This window comes from Homo sapiens, chromosome 4, assembly GCF_000001405.40.
Source record: "Homo sapiens chromosome 4, GRCh38.p14 Primary Assembly".
Taxonomy (NCBI): domain Eukaryota; kingdom Metazoa; phylum Chordata; class Mammalia; order Primates; family Hominidae; genus Homo; species Homo sapiens.
The window spans coordinates 143694071-143714523 of NC_000004.12; the positions used below are offsets into that span (position 1 = coordinate 143694071).

The 20453-nt window shown below is 41.8% G+C and overlaps 1 protein-coding gene across 1 annotated transcript in view, besides 2 other annotated features; it reads right to left on the minus strand.

Moving 5' to 3' along the window:
- The window catches only part of FREM3 (FRAS1 related extracellular matrix 3), a 123374-nt gene extending 116769 nt beyond the window's left edge, over positions 1 to 6605 (minus strand). Inside the window, exon 1 of the mRNA NM_001168235.2 lies at positions 1421 to 6605. Coding sequence (NP_001161707.1) covers positions 1421 to 6605 — 5185 coding nt within the window. The remainder of the gene's footprint in view (positions 1 to 1420) is intronic.
- Positions 5972 to 6629: an enhancer, noted in NCBI's record as "H3K27ac-H3K4me1 hESC enhancer chr4:144621195-144621852 (GRCh37/hg19 assembly coordinates)". NCBI's record gives its function as "activates a minimal SCP1, AML or CMV promoter by ChIP-STARR-seq in naive H9 embryonic stem cells {active_cell/tissue: H9 hESC(naive)}" and the evidence as "EXISTENCE:reporter gene assay evidence [ECO:0000049][PMID:30033119]".
- Positions 19362 to 19863: an enhancer, noted in NCBI's record as "H3K4me1 hESC enhancer chr4:144634585-144635086 (GRCh37/hg19 assembly coordinates)". NCBI's record gives its function as "activates a minimal SCP1, AML or CMV promoter by ChIP-STARR-seq in primed H9 embryonic stem cells {active_cell/tissue: H9 hESC(primed)}" and the evidence as "EXISTENCE:reporter gene assay evidence [ECO:0000049][PMID:30033119]".

The following is a 20453-nucleotide window of genomic DNA, read 5'->3' on the forward strand; positions in this document are numbered from 1 at the left end:
GAAATAATCTGTACAACAGACCAGCATGACATGAGTTTAAGTATGTAAGAAACCTTCACATGTACCTCCAAACCTAAAATAAAAGTTAAGAAACCCTGACTTTGTCACAGTGCTACTATGTGCATATTCTCTGGGTGCTGAAGCCCAGCAAGGAGGGCAGTCTAGTTACGTCTGCTTTACAACATCCTGGCCCTCTATGGAGAGCCAGGTCTATTTGGTTTTGAATCTTCTGCACAAGTATAGAGCTTGACATAACTGTGGATACTCATGAACTACTTGTCAAAATGAATTTAAACAAGAATAATTACTGCATCCTAAGAAAAAAGAAAATGAGAATAAAATCATGATTTTTTTTCCTATTGGCTATTCTCTTGGGTAATAATTTGTTATGAAGGTCTATAATTATGTTTTTATATTGGTAATTATTAGTATTTTAAAAACAATTTGCTTTCAGGGGTGTTTGTTTATAGAATAATTCTTATAGAACCACATATGATTTTATTGTTTAAAGTTTATATAAGTTTAATATTTGAAAATGTTATCACTGTTGTGATTGCATTCTTTCTTTTTTTGTTGTTGTTATACTTTAAGTTCTGGGATACATGTGCATAACGTGCAGGTTTGTTACATAGGTATACACGTGCCATGGAGAACCACATATGATTTCATTTGCTTTAGAAGCAATTCTGAAAATGTAACCCAACTATTTTTTAAACATGTGTAAGTTTTCCTCTGAGTTTGCATCTAGGTTTACATGTATCATGTGTGGGAAATTTCATGCACAGAGCTATCTAAAAAAGTTATGACAACATAAAGAGCATTTAAAAGCCAGTGGGTATCACATCACCTGGGAAAGTAGAGGGACCTGCCTCTAGCTCATGATTAGTAGTGACACCAAATATAAAAGAAAAAATAATCTCAGGCAAACATAGTTCTGTGCTTTTATTAGACGTAGAAATTACGTTTGAATAGTATAATAAAAATGAACAATGTAGGAATTTATATCCAAAATCTAGATACCAAACATCTTCAAAAACCTGGACTTACTAATAACTATACAAATGATTTCTATATGTCATTCTTAAAATTCAAAATCAATCTGATATTATCAGAATTAATATAATGTTATCTTCTAATATTTCAGAAGCAGAAGCTGTCCTCCCGTGTTTAGCAGTTTTAAGGTATAACTACAACTTTATGAAATATCTGTGAGTTTCTGTTAAATGGGCATTCTGATGAAATTGATGAAAAAGGACTTGTTGCCTTTTTTGTTTTTGGAATAGTTTCACGCTTCACTGTATTTTATTAGAACAAGAATCTTACTGCAAATGGCTGAGATCAGGACAATTTTACACAAAGCTGAGAGATCTGATCCAATGAAGGAGAGGGACAGAATAGGCAGGGAAGAATACATACTAACCTTGTGTAAACACTCGAGTGCTCTGGTTTCCAAGGCCAGTTTTGATAATGAAGCCATGCTCTGGTCCTCTGGTCACTTTATACTTCAGAAGCCTGTGGGGACTGTCCTGATCTTCTGCCTTCAGAGACTTGCTGGTAATCAGGAAGCCCATGTGTCCAGTGTGAAGGCGCTTCAAGGCTGGGGCACCCCTGTTGGTAGTAATCTGGGGAAGCCTATTGTCTAATGATCTTATCTGGACCCTCATTACTTGAGGTTTGTGTGTCGCCAGGGCAGTGTCTGGTAGGACATAGAAATCAGTGTGAGTGCCGTCTGTCACAGTCAAGGAGAAACTATCTTCAGTGGTCTCACTGCCGTCATGCTTGTAGCTAATCAGGTTCTTGTTCAGGTCTTGCTTGGTGAAAGTGGTCACGGGACGGCTACCATTGTACAAAATCTTGCCATGCATGGGGACCTGGGTGATGGTAAAGAGAATAAGGTCATCTGGGGTATCACTGTCTTCCACTGTCAACTCAAGGAGAGTGATCAGTTGGCTATCCTCTTTCTGTAGTGTTAGTCTATGGATGGTCAAGATAGGTTTCTTATTATCCACATCAGTGATGAAGATCCTGAAGGTTCTGAACACAGGGTAGAGTTCGCCGATCACTTGAAATTCGAAGCTGTCCATCTTTTTCTCATCATTTGAAGTATGGACATAGGATATTTTGTTGCTAGCCAATTGAAGTTGAGTGAAAGAGGCAATGGGTTCCCCAGCATAGTCAGAACTTTCTAAGTGACCCAGGCTTGGAGCCCGTGTAATGCTAAAGTGATGTTCATCAGAGCTGTTGATGTCACTGTTGGTAAGCAGATTGTTGGTAAGGGTCACTCTGGCACCTTCTATCAAGGTGATCCTTTTGCTGATTACCTCAGGGAAGACGCTGTCTAAGTTGCCAATGGTGACATAGAAGTAGTGGTCTGTCAAAGTGTTAACCCCATCAGTAACATCAAACTTGATAATGTCAACAATCCCTTCTTGGCCTGTGTGGATATAGCAGATGAGGCCTCTGTTAATCTCATCCTGGGTAAAGTTCATTCCCAGAGTAAGATTGTTCCTCACTTCTCCTCTGGGTTTTCTCAGCCTCTGTAGAAGCCCTTGTTGAGGCCCAGAATGGAGGACAAAACTGAGGCTTTTATCATCTGAGTCAAGATCTGTGGCCTTGAGGATCCGATTTGTGATGATCTCAGAGTGTCCTTTCTCTACCTTCAGCCCATTGTTGACAGTCAGGTGAGGAGTTTCATCATCCACTAGGGTCACTACAATGGGTACCTTCCTGTGGGTTGTGTGCTTGCCGTCACTCAGCCAGACCTCAAAACTGTCCTCTTTTGTCTCTGAGTCATCATGCTCATACACAATGGTGGAGGCCTCCTGGATCTCCTTGAGGGTGAAGCTGTGGATGGGCTGGCTGCCTGTAGCCAGCTGCTGTATGATTCGTCCATGCCGAGGGAGGGCTGTGAGTTGAAAGTGGAGCTCATTTGGTGGCAGGTCAGCATCTGCTCCATTAAGCAGCTGGGTGTCTATGACCAGGCTCATCCCCTCTAGTACCTTAAACTCATGGGCAAAAAGTTTAGGCTGCTCATCATTGGTGGGTAGGATGATTATAGGGAAGAAGACATTTGGGGAGAAGTTGATGCCATCAGAGCAATAAAAGGTGAATTGGTCCTCTTGTGGCTCTACTCCCTTGTGAATACTCTGTACATAATTGATATGCCTCACTTGGATATCTCTGAGGGAGAAAGCACTGATAGGGCTACCAGACTGGGACATTTTTGAACCAGGAGCTGATGCAATCTTTTCCAGGTAGCCAGAGGCTGGCTGACTAGTCACTGTGCAGAGGAGTTCATCTTGATGAGTGTCCACATCTTCAACATGGAGATGTTGTAAGGTCAAGGAGTTCTTCTCACCTTCATAGACAATGAAGGACTCCCCGACGAAGACCTTGGGTCCCACATTGTCCACAGGCAGCACAGTTACTTGTACCTGTACTTTCTCTATTATGCTATTCCCCACTACCCATTGGTAAGAATCTTTGGAGAGGATGAGGCTGAAGGCATCGTGCTGCTTTTGAAAACCAACTTCACCTGCAGTGTGGGCATAGGCTACTCTCCCATTGATGAGATCCTCTTGGGTGAATCGTTCTGTGGGCAAACCATTTACCAGAATAGTGCCCAGTTTGGGGCTGTCCTTTACAATGAAAGACAGCATCAAGTCACCTACATCCTTCCTTTTGCCATGGATGACACCCATGGTAATTTCAGTGGCTTTATTCTCTAGTACGTCTATAGAAACATCCAATAATGAACTACTTCTGAGAGAGATCCTAGGACTTCTGTTAGCCACATTGGGATGCACAGAAATTGGGATGGTGATGGGTATATGGTGCACCCCATCACTTACTTCCAGATGGAAAGTGTCACTGGTAGTCGTCTGGTCTCTGCCATGCTGGTAAGAGACACTCCCGTTAATAACATCAGCTTGCATGAAAGATTCCCCTGGGACCATACATCTTTTAAAGTACTGCAAGTGTCCATGTTGGGGACCCCGGACTAATATGAAGACAATTTGGTCAATGTCTGTGTCTGGGTCTGTAACATGCAGCTCATTACTGCTGAGGTTAAAGCTGCCTCCCTCTAAGATAGCAAAGCCTCTGTTGGTGACTTCTGGGGGCTGGTTGTCCACAGGTTGCAGGAATAATGTGAATGTGCCTGGCACGCTATTGCCTGCAGCATCTTCCACCTGGTAAGTAAACTGCACAACCCGTGGTGCAATACCCAATTTCTGTGGAGGCTGGTAGGCAACTTTATGCTGATTTACCTGGGCTTGGGTAAAGTGCATGATGAGTGTGTCTGGTGAATCAGTGAGCACAATTTCTCCAGCCCGGACTTGGTGGTTGCCATCTGTGTCAGTCGGGAGTGTCAGTAGGGTGTACCATAGGTTCTGGTCATCAGAGTCCTGGTCAATGTATCGGAGGAAATTCTTCTGGAAGTGAGTGAGTTGGTATTCTTGTACAGTCATTTCTAGTGTAGTTCCTGGATACAGCTGTGGACTCAGTATATCCACTGGTTGGACCTTGATGGTGAAAATGTGCTGTTTGGAGAGATTGGGTGGGTCATGGTCATCCTGCACATGGAAAGCCAGCTGGACCATTACAGATTGAGGGCTGTGTGGTCCAAGATGGCGGTAGAAGAGTCTCCCTTCCATTATGTCTCTCTGTAGCCACTCAGTCACCACTTTCTCATAAAGCCCTTCCTTTTCCATGTAGTGCCAGTCTTCATCTTCAGTTGAGAGAGGTAGTTCAGCCTGCTGCAGCAACAGGTCCCCCAGGTAGTGGCCTGAGTGGGAGGAACCAGGGGCCAACTCCCACTGAGGCTCTTCCTCATTTCCTTTTAGGGGCTGGTTCTCCAGCACAAAGTGGATGGTTGAGTCCTCAGAGTCAATATCAGTAGCACTCAGTACAAAGGGAGAGATCTGGACCACCTGCCCTTCAGTGAGTGAGAGTCCTGTGTTAGTATTGACCATTGGTGGTTCATCATCCACAGGTAGGATGGTGAGGGGAAAGAGGAAGTCCACTTGGTGGTGCCCGTCCTCCATCCGGAAGATGATATTGTCACTGTAGGTGTTGCTGCCATCATGCTGATACACCACTCGCCCTGCTGCCAGGTCCGCTGGTGTGAAATACTTGCACCCAGCAGGTGCCCCAAACACCACCAGCTGCCCATGTCTCAAGCCCCTGACTGCAGCCATTTTCACCTCTTCCAGGTTATCTTTATCACTGATAGGAATGCTGTGGGTGCTGGACAAGGGCCTTGACTGACCTTCAAAAAGCACAAGTCCCCTGTTATGGCTAGCCACTGGGACCAGAGTATTCATGGATTTCACTGTCACCATGAAGGCAAAGGGGTCTGAGGCGGCGCCGTCTCCGTCCACCACCTCCAGCTCCAGCTGAAAGAGGCGCTCCCCATGGGAGTTCTCTGCAGGGGGCTGATAGGCAATCTTCAGCTCCCTCAGCTCCTGCTGGGTGAAGAAGGAGACTGGAAGCCCTAGAGGGTCGTCGGTGCTGACCACGTAGCCCTGTTGCCCCGGGTGCCCTGGTGGGTGAGTGGGGGCGTTCAGAATGTTGAACACCAGGTCACCAGGGTCTGACTCGACGTCCTCCGCGGCCAGTGCGTCAGGCGTCAGGGCTGTCAGCACCAGTGGATCCACCTCCATCATCATCGTGGCCATGAAGCTGGGCCTGGGCGGTGTGTTCTCGGCTCCGCCGCGGATCCTCACGAGCAGCTGGAAGTGCTCGCGGACCAGCACACCCGCGGACCCAGCGTCTTGGCCCTCAGGCCCCAGCAGCTCCACCATCATGGGCACGTAGTCACGGTTGGGCGAGGAGGTGGCTGTGTGCTGATAGCGCACCCCAGCACGGAGGAAAGCCTCACAGTCTACGCCCTTGCCCCTGGGGAGAGGGGCCCCCACCGCGTCCACCAAGCGCCCGTACTTGGGCAGGGGGCCGTCCTCGTGAGGAAGTGGGGTAAGCCGGCACCTGCGGGTGGCCGTGGCTCCAGACTTCAGGGAGGCGAAGTCCAGCACTCTCCTGTCTATGGCGCGGCTCCAGCTTCGCAGCTTCTCCACTACCAAAGGCCTGTTACGCGTCACCAGCTCCAGCTGGGAGAAGACCAAGTCCACCGCCAGCGTGAAGGGCAGCACCAGAGTGTGAGTCGGGGCGTCGTAGCGCAGCTGCAGCAGCACCCGGGCGCGTCCGGGGCTGTGGGAGCCGAAGTGAGTGTACTGGACTTGGCGGGGCCCGAAGGTGCAGGGGAAGCGGCGCGGGGAGAGCGCGCCCTTGAGCCGCGGCAGGGCGTCCAGTACCGTGACTTCGCACCGGTCCCCCGGCTGCACTCCAATCACCAGATCCCGGAGCGGGTCGAGCCAAAGGGAACGACCCAGGGGCACCCGGAGTCCAGGGTTGGCAATCAGCACGCTGGGGCCGTCGGGGCGAGTGCCGTCAAGCGCACCCCGGGCGGGCAGGTAAAGCGCCGGGTCGGGCTCGGTCCCAAGTGAGGATGCCCGTCCCTGCAGCGCGGGGCGACTCAAGAGCAGGCAGGCGAGCGCCACAAGGAGCTGCCGGGGCGTCCCAGTCGGGTGCCGAGAAGCCCCCGCCATGGCCACGGATGGCTCCTGGCGTTGGGATTCCCGGGGTGGGGTGCCCTGTGCAAAGAGGGATCTGCTGAGCGGCAGGTGCAGGCAGTGGAAGCAGTAGCTGCTGTCCAGTCGGTAGCCGACTTGCGGATCCAGCAAGAGCCAGCGGCTGCGCTTCGGCTGCTGCAGGTAACGGCAGCGGGGGAAGGGGCTCTGCCCACTTCCTGCTCAGCCCCGGTCGCAAGTCTCTCTCTGCTGGCTTCTGGGGACCCCAGATACGCGCCCAGCGCGGCGAGACTTAGCGAGGGTGCAGCGCTGTCCCCTCCGCTCCTGGGCGCTTCACCCAGCCTACCTTACACACCTTCTCGCCGGGAGCCGTGGCCGCCGCACTGCTGCCCGCGCTGCCAGACTCCGACCAGCTGTCTGGATACTCTCTTCCCCAGGTGCCACAAAGGGATTGTCCCTCAGGGTTGGGAGAGAGACGGTGACTGTACTCGGGTCAGTCCTGCGTCTGTGAGATTGAGCTCCTGTTGTCCATTCATCCAGGGATTGGTGTTTCTGAAAAGGGGGAGAGACACCATTCCTCTTCCTTACCGCTGACAGGAGTGTATCTTCTAGCCAAAAACTGAGTCTCACTTCGGACATAAAAGAAGCTGGTGGGAGCTATTTTGCAAATAGGATTTTCTAGCTGTCTGTCTGATGAAGCAGCTTATTCAGGATCTTGTAATTCGGTGCTTCCAAACAACCCTGACGTTTTTCTTCTGCTCAGGTTTTGAAAAAGAAAATCAGCACCCAAACTTACTTGAACAGCTTGTAATCTGGGTTTTTTTTTTTTTTTTTTTTTTTGTCATTGGGTCTCACATAACAAAATCAGGTGTGCGGCTCGGCTTCCTTTCGTTTTCTTAGAATGTGGTTTCCATATCTGATCAACAATGACTTGCCTGTTAGTTTATTAGACATGCTGTTTTCTAATTACTTTCTTCGTAGACAGTAGCCAGAGGGGAGGATGTCAAAGGAAACAGTAGCAGAATACTTGGATCAATTTCTGTGGCTCAATCATTTAACACCTGGAATCAGTCTCTTCATGGCTTTCAGATGAAGGTGACTATGGATGTAGTGTTAGGTACTTAACAGAATCCTATTAATTTTTTAAGTTTTAAAATAGCCAATTTAGTTACAGTGCAGAGTAATCTTTTTCTATAAATAAAGTAGTAGTAATAGTAACGTGCTTCCTTATAAAATTAATGTGAATGTGAGAGACTTTTTGATGACAGTAAAAATAGATGTCTACAAACTATATTGATAGAAATGGCTTCAAGGGGGAATAGAAATCTTTAAATGTTATCCCCATGTTATTCTTTTAGTTTTTTACCGTGTTACAAATGCCTGTTTTATTCACAGCAGCAACGGCATCAGCTGATTTTCAGGGCAAGAATAATCTGCTAGTGACTTGAAAGATTTAATTTTCTCTCTAAACATTTAATTTAATCATCCAGTGAAATGCTATGGGTCTATACAATTCACTTTAGTTGAATGTTAGTGTGCCCCATTAGCACACAGATTTGTTCATATAACAGAATTTTGAGATAATAAGTTTGAATCAATATGTGTTTAGCCTAATGATACAGTATTAGTTCAGTGTATCTGGAAAAATATTATTTAAAAATATATTTCTAATTGAAACACAGGTAAAGTTTCATTGTAAATGAGTCATTATATTATATTTTATAAAGCTGCTGCCTTGTCCAAAGGATGGGTTTTTAATGGTAGAACTTTTATTAGTTTGCATATATTAAAGTTACCAAATGAATATTCCTATAGGAGTGCAGTTTTGGTTCTTTTTCAAGCACACTCACTCACTTTGGGACAAGTACCTTTTTTTCTATGCTATTTTCACTGGAAGTAGAGATGGATGTGGGCAGCTGAGATAACAGAAAGCTGAACTACTATGTTTATATTTTTGTCCTCTGACCCTCCCTCTTCAGCATATATTCCCTTCACCTCTTTTTCACCATTAAATGTCTTAAAAGAGTTTTTTATTTCATTACTGTCTCCATTTCTTCACCTCTCACTCATTGTCTCTTTAGGGCACTCCCAGTCTGGTTTCCACCTTAGACACACCAAAAAAACTTTCACTAAGGTCATTAGTAACTTCCATCTGGCAAACTCCTATAACTATCTCTCATATTGTTAATGTTGCCACACCTTTCTGGTTTCTTTTCTACCTCCCAGTCTAAGTCTCATTTCTTCAGGAAGCATTTTTCAAATGCTCTTCAAACCATGTTGCAAAATCTCTGTAGTTATCTATTCATGTACAGGTCGATTAGTGTCTGTCTTCCCTGTTTGGCTTTAAGCTACAGGAGAGCAGGGAGTATGTAATGTTCACCATTGATACTTAGTGCTTATGCCAAGGACTGGCACATAGCAGGTATGTAATAAGTATTTGTTGATTGATTGATTGATTGAATGAATGAATAAATAGAAAAATGAAAGGGAATCAGAAGTAGTGATCGACATACTTTGCAGTTTAGGTGTCAGGCAGGAGAAACCAGTGCAAGCGTAGGATGACTTCTTTCGTCTTTCCTCAGAATATGCCAGTTCATTAGAGGTCAGTGGAAGCTCTGTTTAGAAAATTCAAATTTGATTTCTAGCCAAATATTTATATTACCCAAATTTTCTTTTCACAGGGTAATTTCACTATCCATATTGTACTTCATTCTCTCATTAATCCAAATTTATTCTTTAAACCTGAGCTGCATCAAGTCTGTCATTAAGTGGGAAGGATGCCCAAGGTTTTCATAAGCCCTACATTATGGGATCATTGTGAAAAACCCCTGAAAGCTGGTTATGTGTCATATTTCTAATTTATATATAGTAACAGATCCCACTTCATACAGCTATCATAAGAATTAAACAGATTACTACACATAAAATGCTTTGAATAGTGCCTGGCACACAGTAAGCACTCAATAAATGTAAGTAATTATTATAATTATAGATAAGAAACTGAGACTTACAGGAGTTAAGTAGAAAAATTTTACCTTGCGAGTTAATTCCACTATAACTAAAAGTATGTCCTGTAGGGAAGGACTTCTTAATACCCCCATCACTTCAGGACAACTTTCCGTCATGCTACACTTCATAAATAACTGGCTCTGCCCTGAGGTACATAGAATAAATGGCATTAAATAGGTCATAGAAGGGAGACTATGTGTCCAAATATCCTGAGTGTGCTTTGGCAGAGAGAGAGTCCATTTTTAGAAAAGTCACATCCAGCTTTCAGAAGTTACTGGGAACAAGCAGGAAAAGTTCTCACCTCATGAACCAGGAAGCGCTAGAACAGCAGTCCGCATTCCCCCAAACTAATGGAGCCAAGACCAGCTATCTAACCTTTTCTTTGTGGAAGTTATTTTTTCTCTACCAGCTGGAGAAACAAAAGATCTTAAACCCCACATGTCACACCATGAATGCCTTGAATCAGGTTGCCTGCAAATGTTTAGCATTGATGTACTTCAGTAAAGCCTAGAGGCTTTGCTCTAATTGGGTCACCAGTGGGCTCTTAGAAGAACATGCTCCAGGGAGACTACAAGTAAAACAAAACAAAACAAAACATGGAAAACAAAACATTAAAATGGCATCCAAACCATTTGTAACCTGTGGGGACTGCAGCTTCAAGAGAAGTTAACTAAACTAAGTCACACAGCCTGTCAGTGGCCAAGCCACCTTTGCTTCCATTACATATGGACTCCGTGGGGCGCCTGCATTTTCTGTGAGTCTCTCCCAACCTGAAGAATGCAGTAGCTGCAGCTCCACCTCAATAACTACATCTCAGGGCCATGTCTTTCTTTGCATAAATCTGGGCTAGGTTCTCCATGCCCTCCGGGATGGGCACCATTATTCTCTGTGCCTCTACACATGATAGGATGTTGGTAAAGGCAGGCTCCATACAGTGGAGCAAGGAGAAGATCATCATACCCAATGGGAATAACCAGTTAGCATATGTCAACAAGTGATGCTGCATTCATTAACTTTTAAAACATTCCCAACAAACTACTAGTCATCCTATTTCGCTTGCCTTCAGAAAGGTGGTTGAAAGTCAAGGTACAGGCTGGGCACGGTGGCTCATGCCTGTAATCCCAGCACTTTGAGAGGCTGAGGCAGGTGGATCACGAGGTCAGGAGATCGAGACCATCCTGGCTAAAATGGTGAAACCCCGTCTCTACTAAAAATACAAAAATTAGCCGGGCGTGGTGGCGGGCGCCTGTAGTCCCAGCTACTTGGGAGGCTGAGGCAGGAGAATGGCGTGAACCCCGGAGGCGGAGCTTGCAGTGAGCCGAGATTGTGCCACTGCACTCCAGCCTGGGCGACAGAGTGAGACTCCATCGCAAAAAATATATAAATAAATAAATGAATAAATAAATAAATAAAAAAGAAAGTCAAGTCCATTGGTAACGTCAGAGCCATTTGAGAACTGAGTGGTGTGAAAAAAGAGGGAAGAGGGAAATGAATGTTTTGCTTGTTCTTCTGAGACATCAACTAGCATCTAGAATAGAGCAGGTGTCCGGAGCTCTCTCATGCTAGAAAGAGCCATCCTTTAGGCTGTTGGCTACATGATCCCTGATTCTCAAAGTCCTGTTCAGGCTGTCACTACTCAGAGAAAACGATGGACAGCAAGGCATTCAGAAGAGGGCAGCATGTGCGAGGTAGGTGAAGAAGGCTCTATCTTGCTCTGGACCATCACAAAGAGCTGATTCAAACTCTCAATATTGGCAGAAAATAAGACCTTGGAAGAAGAAAAGGGGTTATTCAGCACTAAATTAAAACATGATAATTGATCATCTTCCTTTAAATCATACAACATATAAAAGAAGTAACTTTTATTTCAAAGAAAAGCACTAGGAACAGATGTAAAACAAGAATCAAAGCTAAAAGATAGGGTATTTTTCTAATGTACAATATATTCTTTGTTCTATTTATAGTATATATAAATACAATGCCTATTTAAATAGAGATTTCCTTTTAAATAGTTTCAAATTTTAGAAGAAAAATGATGATGAAGAAGAGTGATAGTACTTAATTGGCACTGGTTTTTTTGAGAACTTTTTGTTGAATCTAATCTCAAAATGACTTAAAGATAACATTACTTTGCACATTATTTGGGGTCTCCATTAATTCAATTTGAATGAGTTAATAAAAGTCTGGCTTTTAGGCATAGTCCTATTTATTAGTCTACAGGTTTTGTCTGATGAAGAATTATGTAATTTTACTAGATCAGCTTTTGTCTTTCTTAAAATACGATCCATTCCACATTATAATCATGACTTTAGCACTGAAGTCGAAAGCTCAGATAAATTCTGAAAATGACTTGTTAGTATATTTGTCAGTTAGATAAAATTACAATTACTTCTCAGTTATTTTTTTATTTTGCATGTCCTCTCAGAGCATTCCATTGTGATGTTTCCCCCTTTGATCAATAGTAAAAGTGCAGAATATGGGTAGGAAATACATGACTATTGAAATATGATTCTACCTTCATTAAATATGTTTTCTAAGAGATCATTAATGTCTTCAGCAATATTTTACTATATGATTTTGCATCATACAGTATGTTATTATCATACCTACAAAATATGACCAGTAGCTATTGAATAGATGTTCAAATATCATATAAATGTTATCATTTAAACATTAATATGTTTTTGGAAGATGTTAGTCAAAGGGTACAAAGTTTCAGTTATGCAGGTTTAATAAGTTCTAGAGATCTAATGTATAACATAGTGCCTATAGTTAACAATACTGTACTGTACAGTTGAAATTTGCTAAGATCTTAAATATTCTCACCACACACACACACACAAACTATGTGAGGTGATAAATAAGTTAATTAGTTTAATTGTGGCAATTATTTCACAATGACTTTGTATACCAAAGCATCATGTTATGCACTTTAAATGTAAAAAACGTTTATTTGTCAACTATATATCAGTAAAACTGGGAAAAACATTAACATGTTTTTATGTTAATTTTTATTATGGATTAAAGGGTACATGAGCAGGTTTGTTACGTGAGTATATTGTGTGATGCTGAGGCTTGGGATCCCAATGATCCTGTCACTCAGGCATTGAGCATAGTAAAACAAAGTAAAACCACCACTTTGAAGAACCAACAGGTGGTCTTCAGCCCACATCCTTCTCCCTCTCTCCCCGTCTAGTAGTCCCCAGTGTCTGTTGTTCCCGTCTTTACACTCATGTGTACTCAATGTTTAGCTTCCACTTGTAAGTGAGACCATGTGATATTTGATTTTCTGTTACTGTGTCAGTTTGCTTAGGATAATGGCCTCCAGCTGCATACATGTTGCTGCAAAGGACACAATTTCATTCTTTTTTGTGGCTGTATAGTATTCCATGGTGTATATGTACCACATTGATGGACACCTAGATCGATTCCAAGTCTTTGCTATTGTGAATAGCACTGCAATGAACACATGAGTGCAGGTGTCTTTCTGATAGGATAAACTATTTTCCTTGGGGTATATGCCCAGTAGTGGTATTGCTGGGTTGAATGGCAGTTCTGTTTTAAGTACTTTGAGAAATCTCCAAACTGCTTTCCACAGTAGCTGAATGAGTTTGCACTCCCACTGACAGTGTATAAGTGCTCTCTTTCCTCTGCGGTTTTGCCAGCATCTGTTATTTTTTGACTTTTTAATAATTGCCATTTGGACTGGTGTCAGATGGTATCTCATTGTGGTTTTGATCTGCATTTCTTTGATATCGTTGATGATTAGTTATGTGGAGCGTTTTTCATATGTTTATTGGCTGCATGCACGTCTTCTTTTGAGAAGTGTCTCTTCATATCCTTTGCCCATTTTTTCATTGAACTTTGATTTCTTTTTTTTGCTGTTGATTTAAGTTCCTTGTAGATTCTATATATTAGAACTGTGTTGGCCAGGCACGGTGGCTCATGCCTGTAATCCAAGCACTTTGGGAGGACAAGGTGGGCAGATTACCTGAGGTCAGGAGTTTGAGACCATCCTGGCCAACATGGTGAAACCCCGTCCTACTAAAAATACAAAAATTAGCGGGGTGTGGTGGAACGTTCCTGTAATCCCAGCTACTTGGTAGGCTGAGGCAGGAGAATTGCTTGAGCCCAGGAGACAGAGGTTGCAGTGAGCCAAGATTGTGCCACTGCACTCCAGCCTGGCTGATAGAGCAAGACTCTGTCAAAAAACAAACAAACAAACAAACAAACAAAAAAAACCGTGTCAGATGCGATGCATAGTTTGCAGATATTTTCTCCCATTCTTTTGGCTTTCTGTTTACTCCATTGGTAAGTTCTTTTGCTGTGTAGAAGCTCTTTAATTAGGTTCTACTTGTCAATTTTTTTTTTGTTGCAATTGTTTTTGGGAACTTAGTCATAAATTCTTTGCCAAAGCCTATATTGAGAAGGGTATTTCCTAGGTTTTCTTCTAGGATTTTTGTAGTTGGAAGTGTTACATTTAAATCCCATCTTGAGTTAATTTTTATATGTGGTGAGAGGTAGGGTCCAGTTTCTTCTGCATATGGCTAGCCAACTATCCCAGTACCATTTATTGAATAGGGAGTCATTTCCTCATTGCTTATTTTTGTTGATTTTGTCAAAGATCAGATATTTGTAGGTGTGCAGGTTTAATTCTAGGTTTTCTATTCCATTCAACTTGTCTATGTTTTTTTTTTGTTGTTGTTGTTGTTTTTTAAAACCAGTGCCATGCTGTTTTGGCTGCTGTAGCCTTAGAGTGTAGTTTGAAGTCAGGCAATGTGATAGCTCCAGTTTTGTTATTTTTGTTTAGGATACTTTGGTTATTTGGACTCTTTTTTGGTTCCAAATGAATTTTAGAAAAATTTTTTCTAATTCTGTAAAATACTCTGTGTTAATATTAAATGGTGTGGTATTAGTTTTCTAGGACTGCCGTAATAAGGCGCTACAGGTTTAGGAGTGGCTTAAACCACAAAAATCTATTGTCTCACAGTTCTGGAGGCTGGAAGTCCAGAATGAAGATATTGAGAGGTGGCTCCTCCTGAGGACTGTTGGGGAAAGAATCTCTTCCAGGTCTTTCTTTTTGAGTTTTAGATAGTGGCCTCTTTCTATGTCTCTTCACATTGTCTTTCCTCTATCTGTGTCTGTGTGTCTAAATTTCACCTTTTCCTAAGAACCCCAGTAATACTGGATTAGGGCCCACTTTACTGACCTCATTTGAACTTGATAATCTCTGTAAAGACCCTATCTGTAAATAAGGTCTCATTCTCAAGTACTTGGGGTTAGAACTTCAACATATGAATTTTAGGAGATGTAATTTAACTCATAGAGCTCTCACACTGGCCCTCTAAAAGTCGTGCCCTCTTCACATGAAAAATAGATTCACCTTATCCCAACATCTCCCAAAGTTTTAAACCATTCTGGCATCAACTCTAAGTCCCAAATATCATCCAGATATCATCTTAATCAATTATGGATGAGATATGGAGAATGACTCACCCAGGAAAAAAATCCTCTGCAGCTGTGAACCTGTGAAACTAGACAAGTTATCTGCTTCCGAAATACAACAGTAGGACAGGCATAGGGTAGACATTTCCACTCTGAAAGGGTGAAATCAGATGGAAAAATGAGGTTATGGGTCCTAGGCAAGTCTGAAACCTGGCAGAGCAAATTCCATTAGATTTGGAGGTTTGAGAATCCTCTTTGGCTGGATGCTCTGTCTACTCCGTTCTCCAGGCCCACCTGAGTGGCAGCTCTGCCCCTCAGCCCTGCTTGGATATGTGGTAATATTCTTAACTAGTTATAGCTACAAAGAATGTTACCGTGATAGGAAAATTTTTGCCAGGCAAGTCTTAGGGAGGGAAAAAAACATCTACCTGAATTCTACCTGATTAATAAGGGGCTGTTTTGTTCAACTTTAGCGTCAAGGCAGTGCTTAATGCAATAGGTGGTTAGGTAGGAAATGAACTTTGGAAACTTTTATATGTGAGAGCAAATTGTCACTTTATTATTAGATTCTTTCCAGCAATAATGATAATAAAAACTATCAATGATATGCCATATAGTCACATCTATTTTCATAATAATTTATTTATATAGACCCAAATTATTAAGCGATACCAAACTGACCTATGGAAAATACTGAGGTTATAGCTATATGTATTTTCCTCAGATAGGATTAAAAACTGTAATTTTCTGATTTAAACTAATCCAGGGATGTGGTGGAAAGCCTGTCATATAAATGTCACTTCAGTAATTGACCTATTATTTTTGAAATGCTATCCAGGGTAACTGCAAGGATATTTTAATTATTATGTTTAGAATGTTTTAAAAACAGTGTGACAGTCAATTTTAAGTGTCAAGTTGTCTGCACCATGGGGTGCCCAGGTTAAACATTATTGCTGGGTGTGTCTCTGAGGGTGTTTCTGGATGGTATCAGGTTGGCATTTGAATCAGTGGACTCAGTAAAGTAGATTGCCCTACCCAATGCGCTGGGTGCTTAATCATCTAATTCGTTAAAAGCTTGAATAGAACAAAAAGACAGAGGAAGAAGGAATTAACCCCTTTCCCTTCCTGCCTGATTGCTTGAGCTGGGACATCAGTCTTTTCCCATGCTTGGTGCTCTTGGTTTCAGGCCTTCAGGCTTGGACTGAATTTCAGTGTTAGTTTCCCTGGGTCTCCAACTTGCATACAGCAGATCGTTGGACTTTTCAGTTCCATAATTGCATGAGCCAATTCCTTATAATAAATCTTTATATATATATATATATATATATATATATATATGTATCTTATTGGCTCTGTTTCTTCAGAGGACTGATTAATACAACTAGAGAATCTATTTATTTATTTTTGACTTTCAAGGACATTTTAAATACATTCAATAAACTTGTACAAAGTTTATTAAATCTTTTCTATTAACAGTTTCAAAGGGCTGAAGTGGTGGCTCACATCTGTAATCCCAGCACTTTACAGCACATCTGTAATCCCAGTGCTCAAGCGATTCTTGAGCCTAGGAGTTTGAGACCAGCCTGGGCAACATAGCAAGACCCCTTCTTAAAAAAAATAAAAAAAAACTAGCCAGGCATGGTGGTGCATGCCATAGTCCCAGCTACTTGGGTGGCTGAAGTGGGAGGATCGCTTAACCCATGAGGTCAAGGCTGCAGTGAGCCATGGCTGTGCCACTGCACTCCAGCCTGGACAACAGAGTGAGACCTTGTCTCAACAAAAAAGAAAAGTTCCAAAGGAAAGGGACTTAATCATTTGTTAAAAACTAATTTATAAATGGCATATTAAAGACATTTTTAAAAGAAAATTCTAATAGTAGCAGGATGGTCACATGAGATTAAATTTTCATCTGCATATGTGTGTGCATTCTCTCTTCTCAGCAACAAAGAGGCTTCTAATTGGTAAAGGCAGACTAACTTAGAATAGTAATCAGGGCTTCTTGGAGTCACGGCAGGTAGTACAACCTTTCATTCTTTTCCCCCTCCCCTAAAAGATAGGTGTGAGCACTTTGGAGTCACTTCCAAAAATTGGCTTAGAAAAGAAATACATTTTTGAGTCATTAAAGCCAAGTTGCATTAAGAATTTGGAGGGTTGACAAGATTAATGGTTGTAATAAGACTCTGTATGGAGAATTTGAAGGGGCTCTAAATTCAATTACTTACAGGATTAGACAAGTAACGTATATTAATTAAACCATAGGGTGTCAGAAAAAAAAGGAAGGGACTACATCTCTGTCTCTACTAGTAATCAAGAAGTACATACTTTACAGTCAAGCATTGTTCTCATATATGAAAGACATGACATTGTTTCACAAAGTATCTTTTGCCTTCTAAGATATAAGATTTTGGGGGAAGATAGTTCATCTTTTGGCACTAAAGGAATATTTAGACCACTGGGGTATATAGCATGGCATGGGCTAGGAAGAAAGGATCTTTGTACATGTTCAATTTCATTTTAAATATAAATCATAAGAAGTGACTCCATAGTAGGGATGATAAAGAAGCCACGCAGGCACTCAGTTATTGCCCCTGGTGGACTGTGATGTAGCAAGCAGGGATATTGAAGCCATGAGGGGGCTCCACAGGGGGTTCGCTGTGGATTGATCTTAGTTAGATTTTGTATGCAGGCCATCTGTTTGGATCAACATCCACTTAGTGCCTCATTTTTCTATTTCAGAGGATGTGTGGGGAAAATTAGGATGTTTTAGGGGAATGAAAAGAGAAGGGAAAGGGAAACAGAGATGGAGAAGACAACAAAACGGAAGTGAAGGGTCATAGGGAGAGAAATGCTGAAGGCACTGGGACCAACCACCTGGGGTCAGAGTTGAGTGAAATGACATATGGGAGTGCCTGGCATCCTGGCCTCCCAGCATCTGCTGTTTCCCTGCTCATTGCTCTCATTTGGGGTTAAGAATTGGCTTTACATTTCTGTGTCTTCCTAGGACCCAACACATAGTAGATGTCCCGTAGGTGGTTTTCTTTTAAGTGAACCATTCCAAAGTTTATGTTTAGCTGTCATATCTCACATAATAATTTGGTATTTTGAATAAAGATCTTTCTAGGCTTGGCTTTAGTTTCTGTGTAGTATGTAGAGGAATATAGTTGTGCTTTGAAGATTGTGTCTATCTTTCACTTCAGGACTGCTTGAAAGACAAGTCTTGTAACCAGATGTAAATAGGCAGGATATGAAGTTTATGAAGCTTTTGGCCCCATCTGTTTCCTATATTTGAACATGTACACCCTTCATAATCTAGAGATTAAAATTCACGTTTTTAAGTTAAAAAACTTGTATCTTTGAGTTATAAGAAATACATTTAAAGTAATCCAAACCCACACTGCATTTTAAGAAGTCTAGATTGCTTTTGTGTCAGTTGCAAAATGGGAAATGTTAATAACAAAACAGCGGCAGTGGGAGTGGAGTGATCACCCCAGTTGCTTTCCTTTTTGGTTATTGTCATTGAATGGGTTTATATTTAGTAATGTAACGTGTTTACTATTCATTTACAGTGATTGTAAAAGCAAGTTTTGAATAGATGCTTTAAGCATATGTGTAAATTCTGTGAGTTTTGTTATTGCACACATTATCATGAGAAATATTTTTATTGGCGTATTTGTTATCCAGACATTTATGGTGTTCAGTATCATTACTTTAACTTGTATGCCTTATAACATCAGACACTCTAAATTAAGATGCAGTTGGTAATTCCATAGTTCTTTGAATTTGTGAACTAAGTTTGCAAACTGTGGTCTTTATGAGAAAGAATTCAATATTTTCAAACTTGGAAGAACTAGAGAATGTCCTTTTCAATATAAAGACCAATGGGAGCATTAATAAAAATGATGAACAATTGAAATAATAATTCTAACTAAATAATTTGTTTTTGGAATACAAAATTTTTTTCTGGTCTTAAAATAGCTAAATCCGTGAGTAGTGCTCATTGGGTAACAGTTTAACCACTACTTCTTTGTACTTGTGATACAATCTAAGGCATGTCAGGTATATCTCATGTTTGGCATAATGATAGGTCCTTGAATTCTGAGATTTGTAGTGTTGTTGCCAGGGTGACGTCTTATCCCCCTGGTTGTTTAGCATGGCCAGACAGCACTCTTACATATTGAATCTTTTTGGTGCTGCAGTTTCAGGCAAAGCACAATTTAATAGGTGCGGGCAATATATATATATATATATATATATATATATATGAATACACATACACTATATATAATACATATATATGCACATATGTGTGTGTACACACATAGATACTATTTAAACTGTGACATAAAAACAACAGACATATTGAGTTGAATTCTGTACGTTAACACATTGGAGATGATCAATGCTATAATTTGTGCTGCCAGCTTAATTCATTTTTGCACAGCTATCGGAAAATCCTGCCATCTTTGTTTAGTTGGAATTTTCCTGAAATTACAAGGCAAGCTTATAAAAACCAGTTATTTATAATGTGTATCTGTTTGAATCAGACTTTCTATATACTGTGCAATCAAAGGAGAATAAAGAAAGAATCTGGATCCTAAGCTGATGAAATATGGTGAAATGTGTATGCTAAGCAAGTGAAGTTGTTGTAGTTGCCTGCAGTAAGTAAGGCCTGGTGCCTCTGATTATGATTTTGGAGTCCAAATAGGAGGTACTGGAGGAATCCTGGCCTTGTGGTGTCTCGGAGACCTGGACTCTGCTTATTAGTTACGTTTCCTTAGGCAAGAGCCACAACTCGTGTACATGACCCTTCTGAATCTCGGCTCTCCTGCCTGCAATATGTACTTAATAATACCTGTCTCTCCATCATGAGGTGTGAATAAAGCAATGGGTGTGAAAGCCCATTGCTATATGTGAAATCCTCTGTAATGTAAATAACTACCACAAACAGAACAGGTTCTTGGCTGCAGATCTGGTGCCCTATTTTCTGCATTCCTTCCCAGAAGTGTTGTTCTACATCCTTCCCATGTTCCCTATAGCAAACTCACTTTTATCCTCTAGGACTATCCTCTGTCCCCTGGCTTGACCTGGCTATTGGGAATTTCTTTGTTACTTTTGGTGCTCTTCCCCCGACCCCTACCCGCTTCACCTGCAGGCATCATCTGTGGTGGGTTTTTAATGTTGAGCTGTGGATTTTTGGCATGAGATGTGTTATTTTCCTGAAATGAGGGGTCTGGTAAAGGGCTGTGAATTAGATGTTGCCCTTGCTGTGTGCCTTGTTTGCTCTGCCATAGAAAACAAAAGATCCAGTTTCTACATTAGCATTTCAATGTTAAATGCAAGGAGAATTGGTCTCAGGGTCACCAATGTCTGGGACTGAAATTTTACCCAGCTCCAGAAAGTCTGCTGGCAATA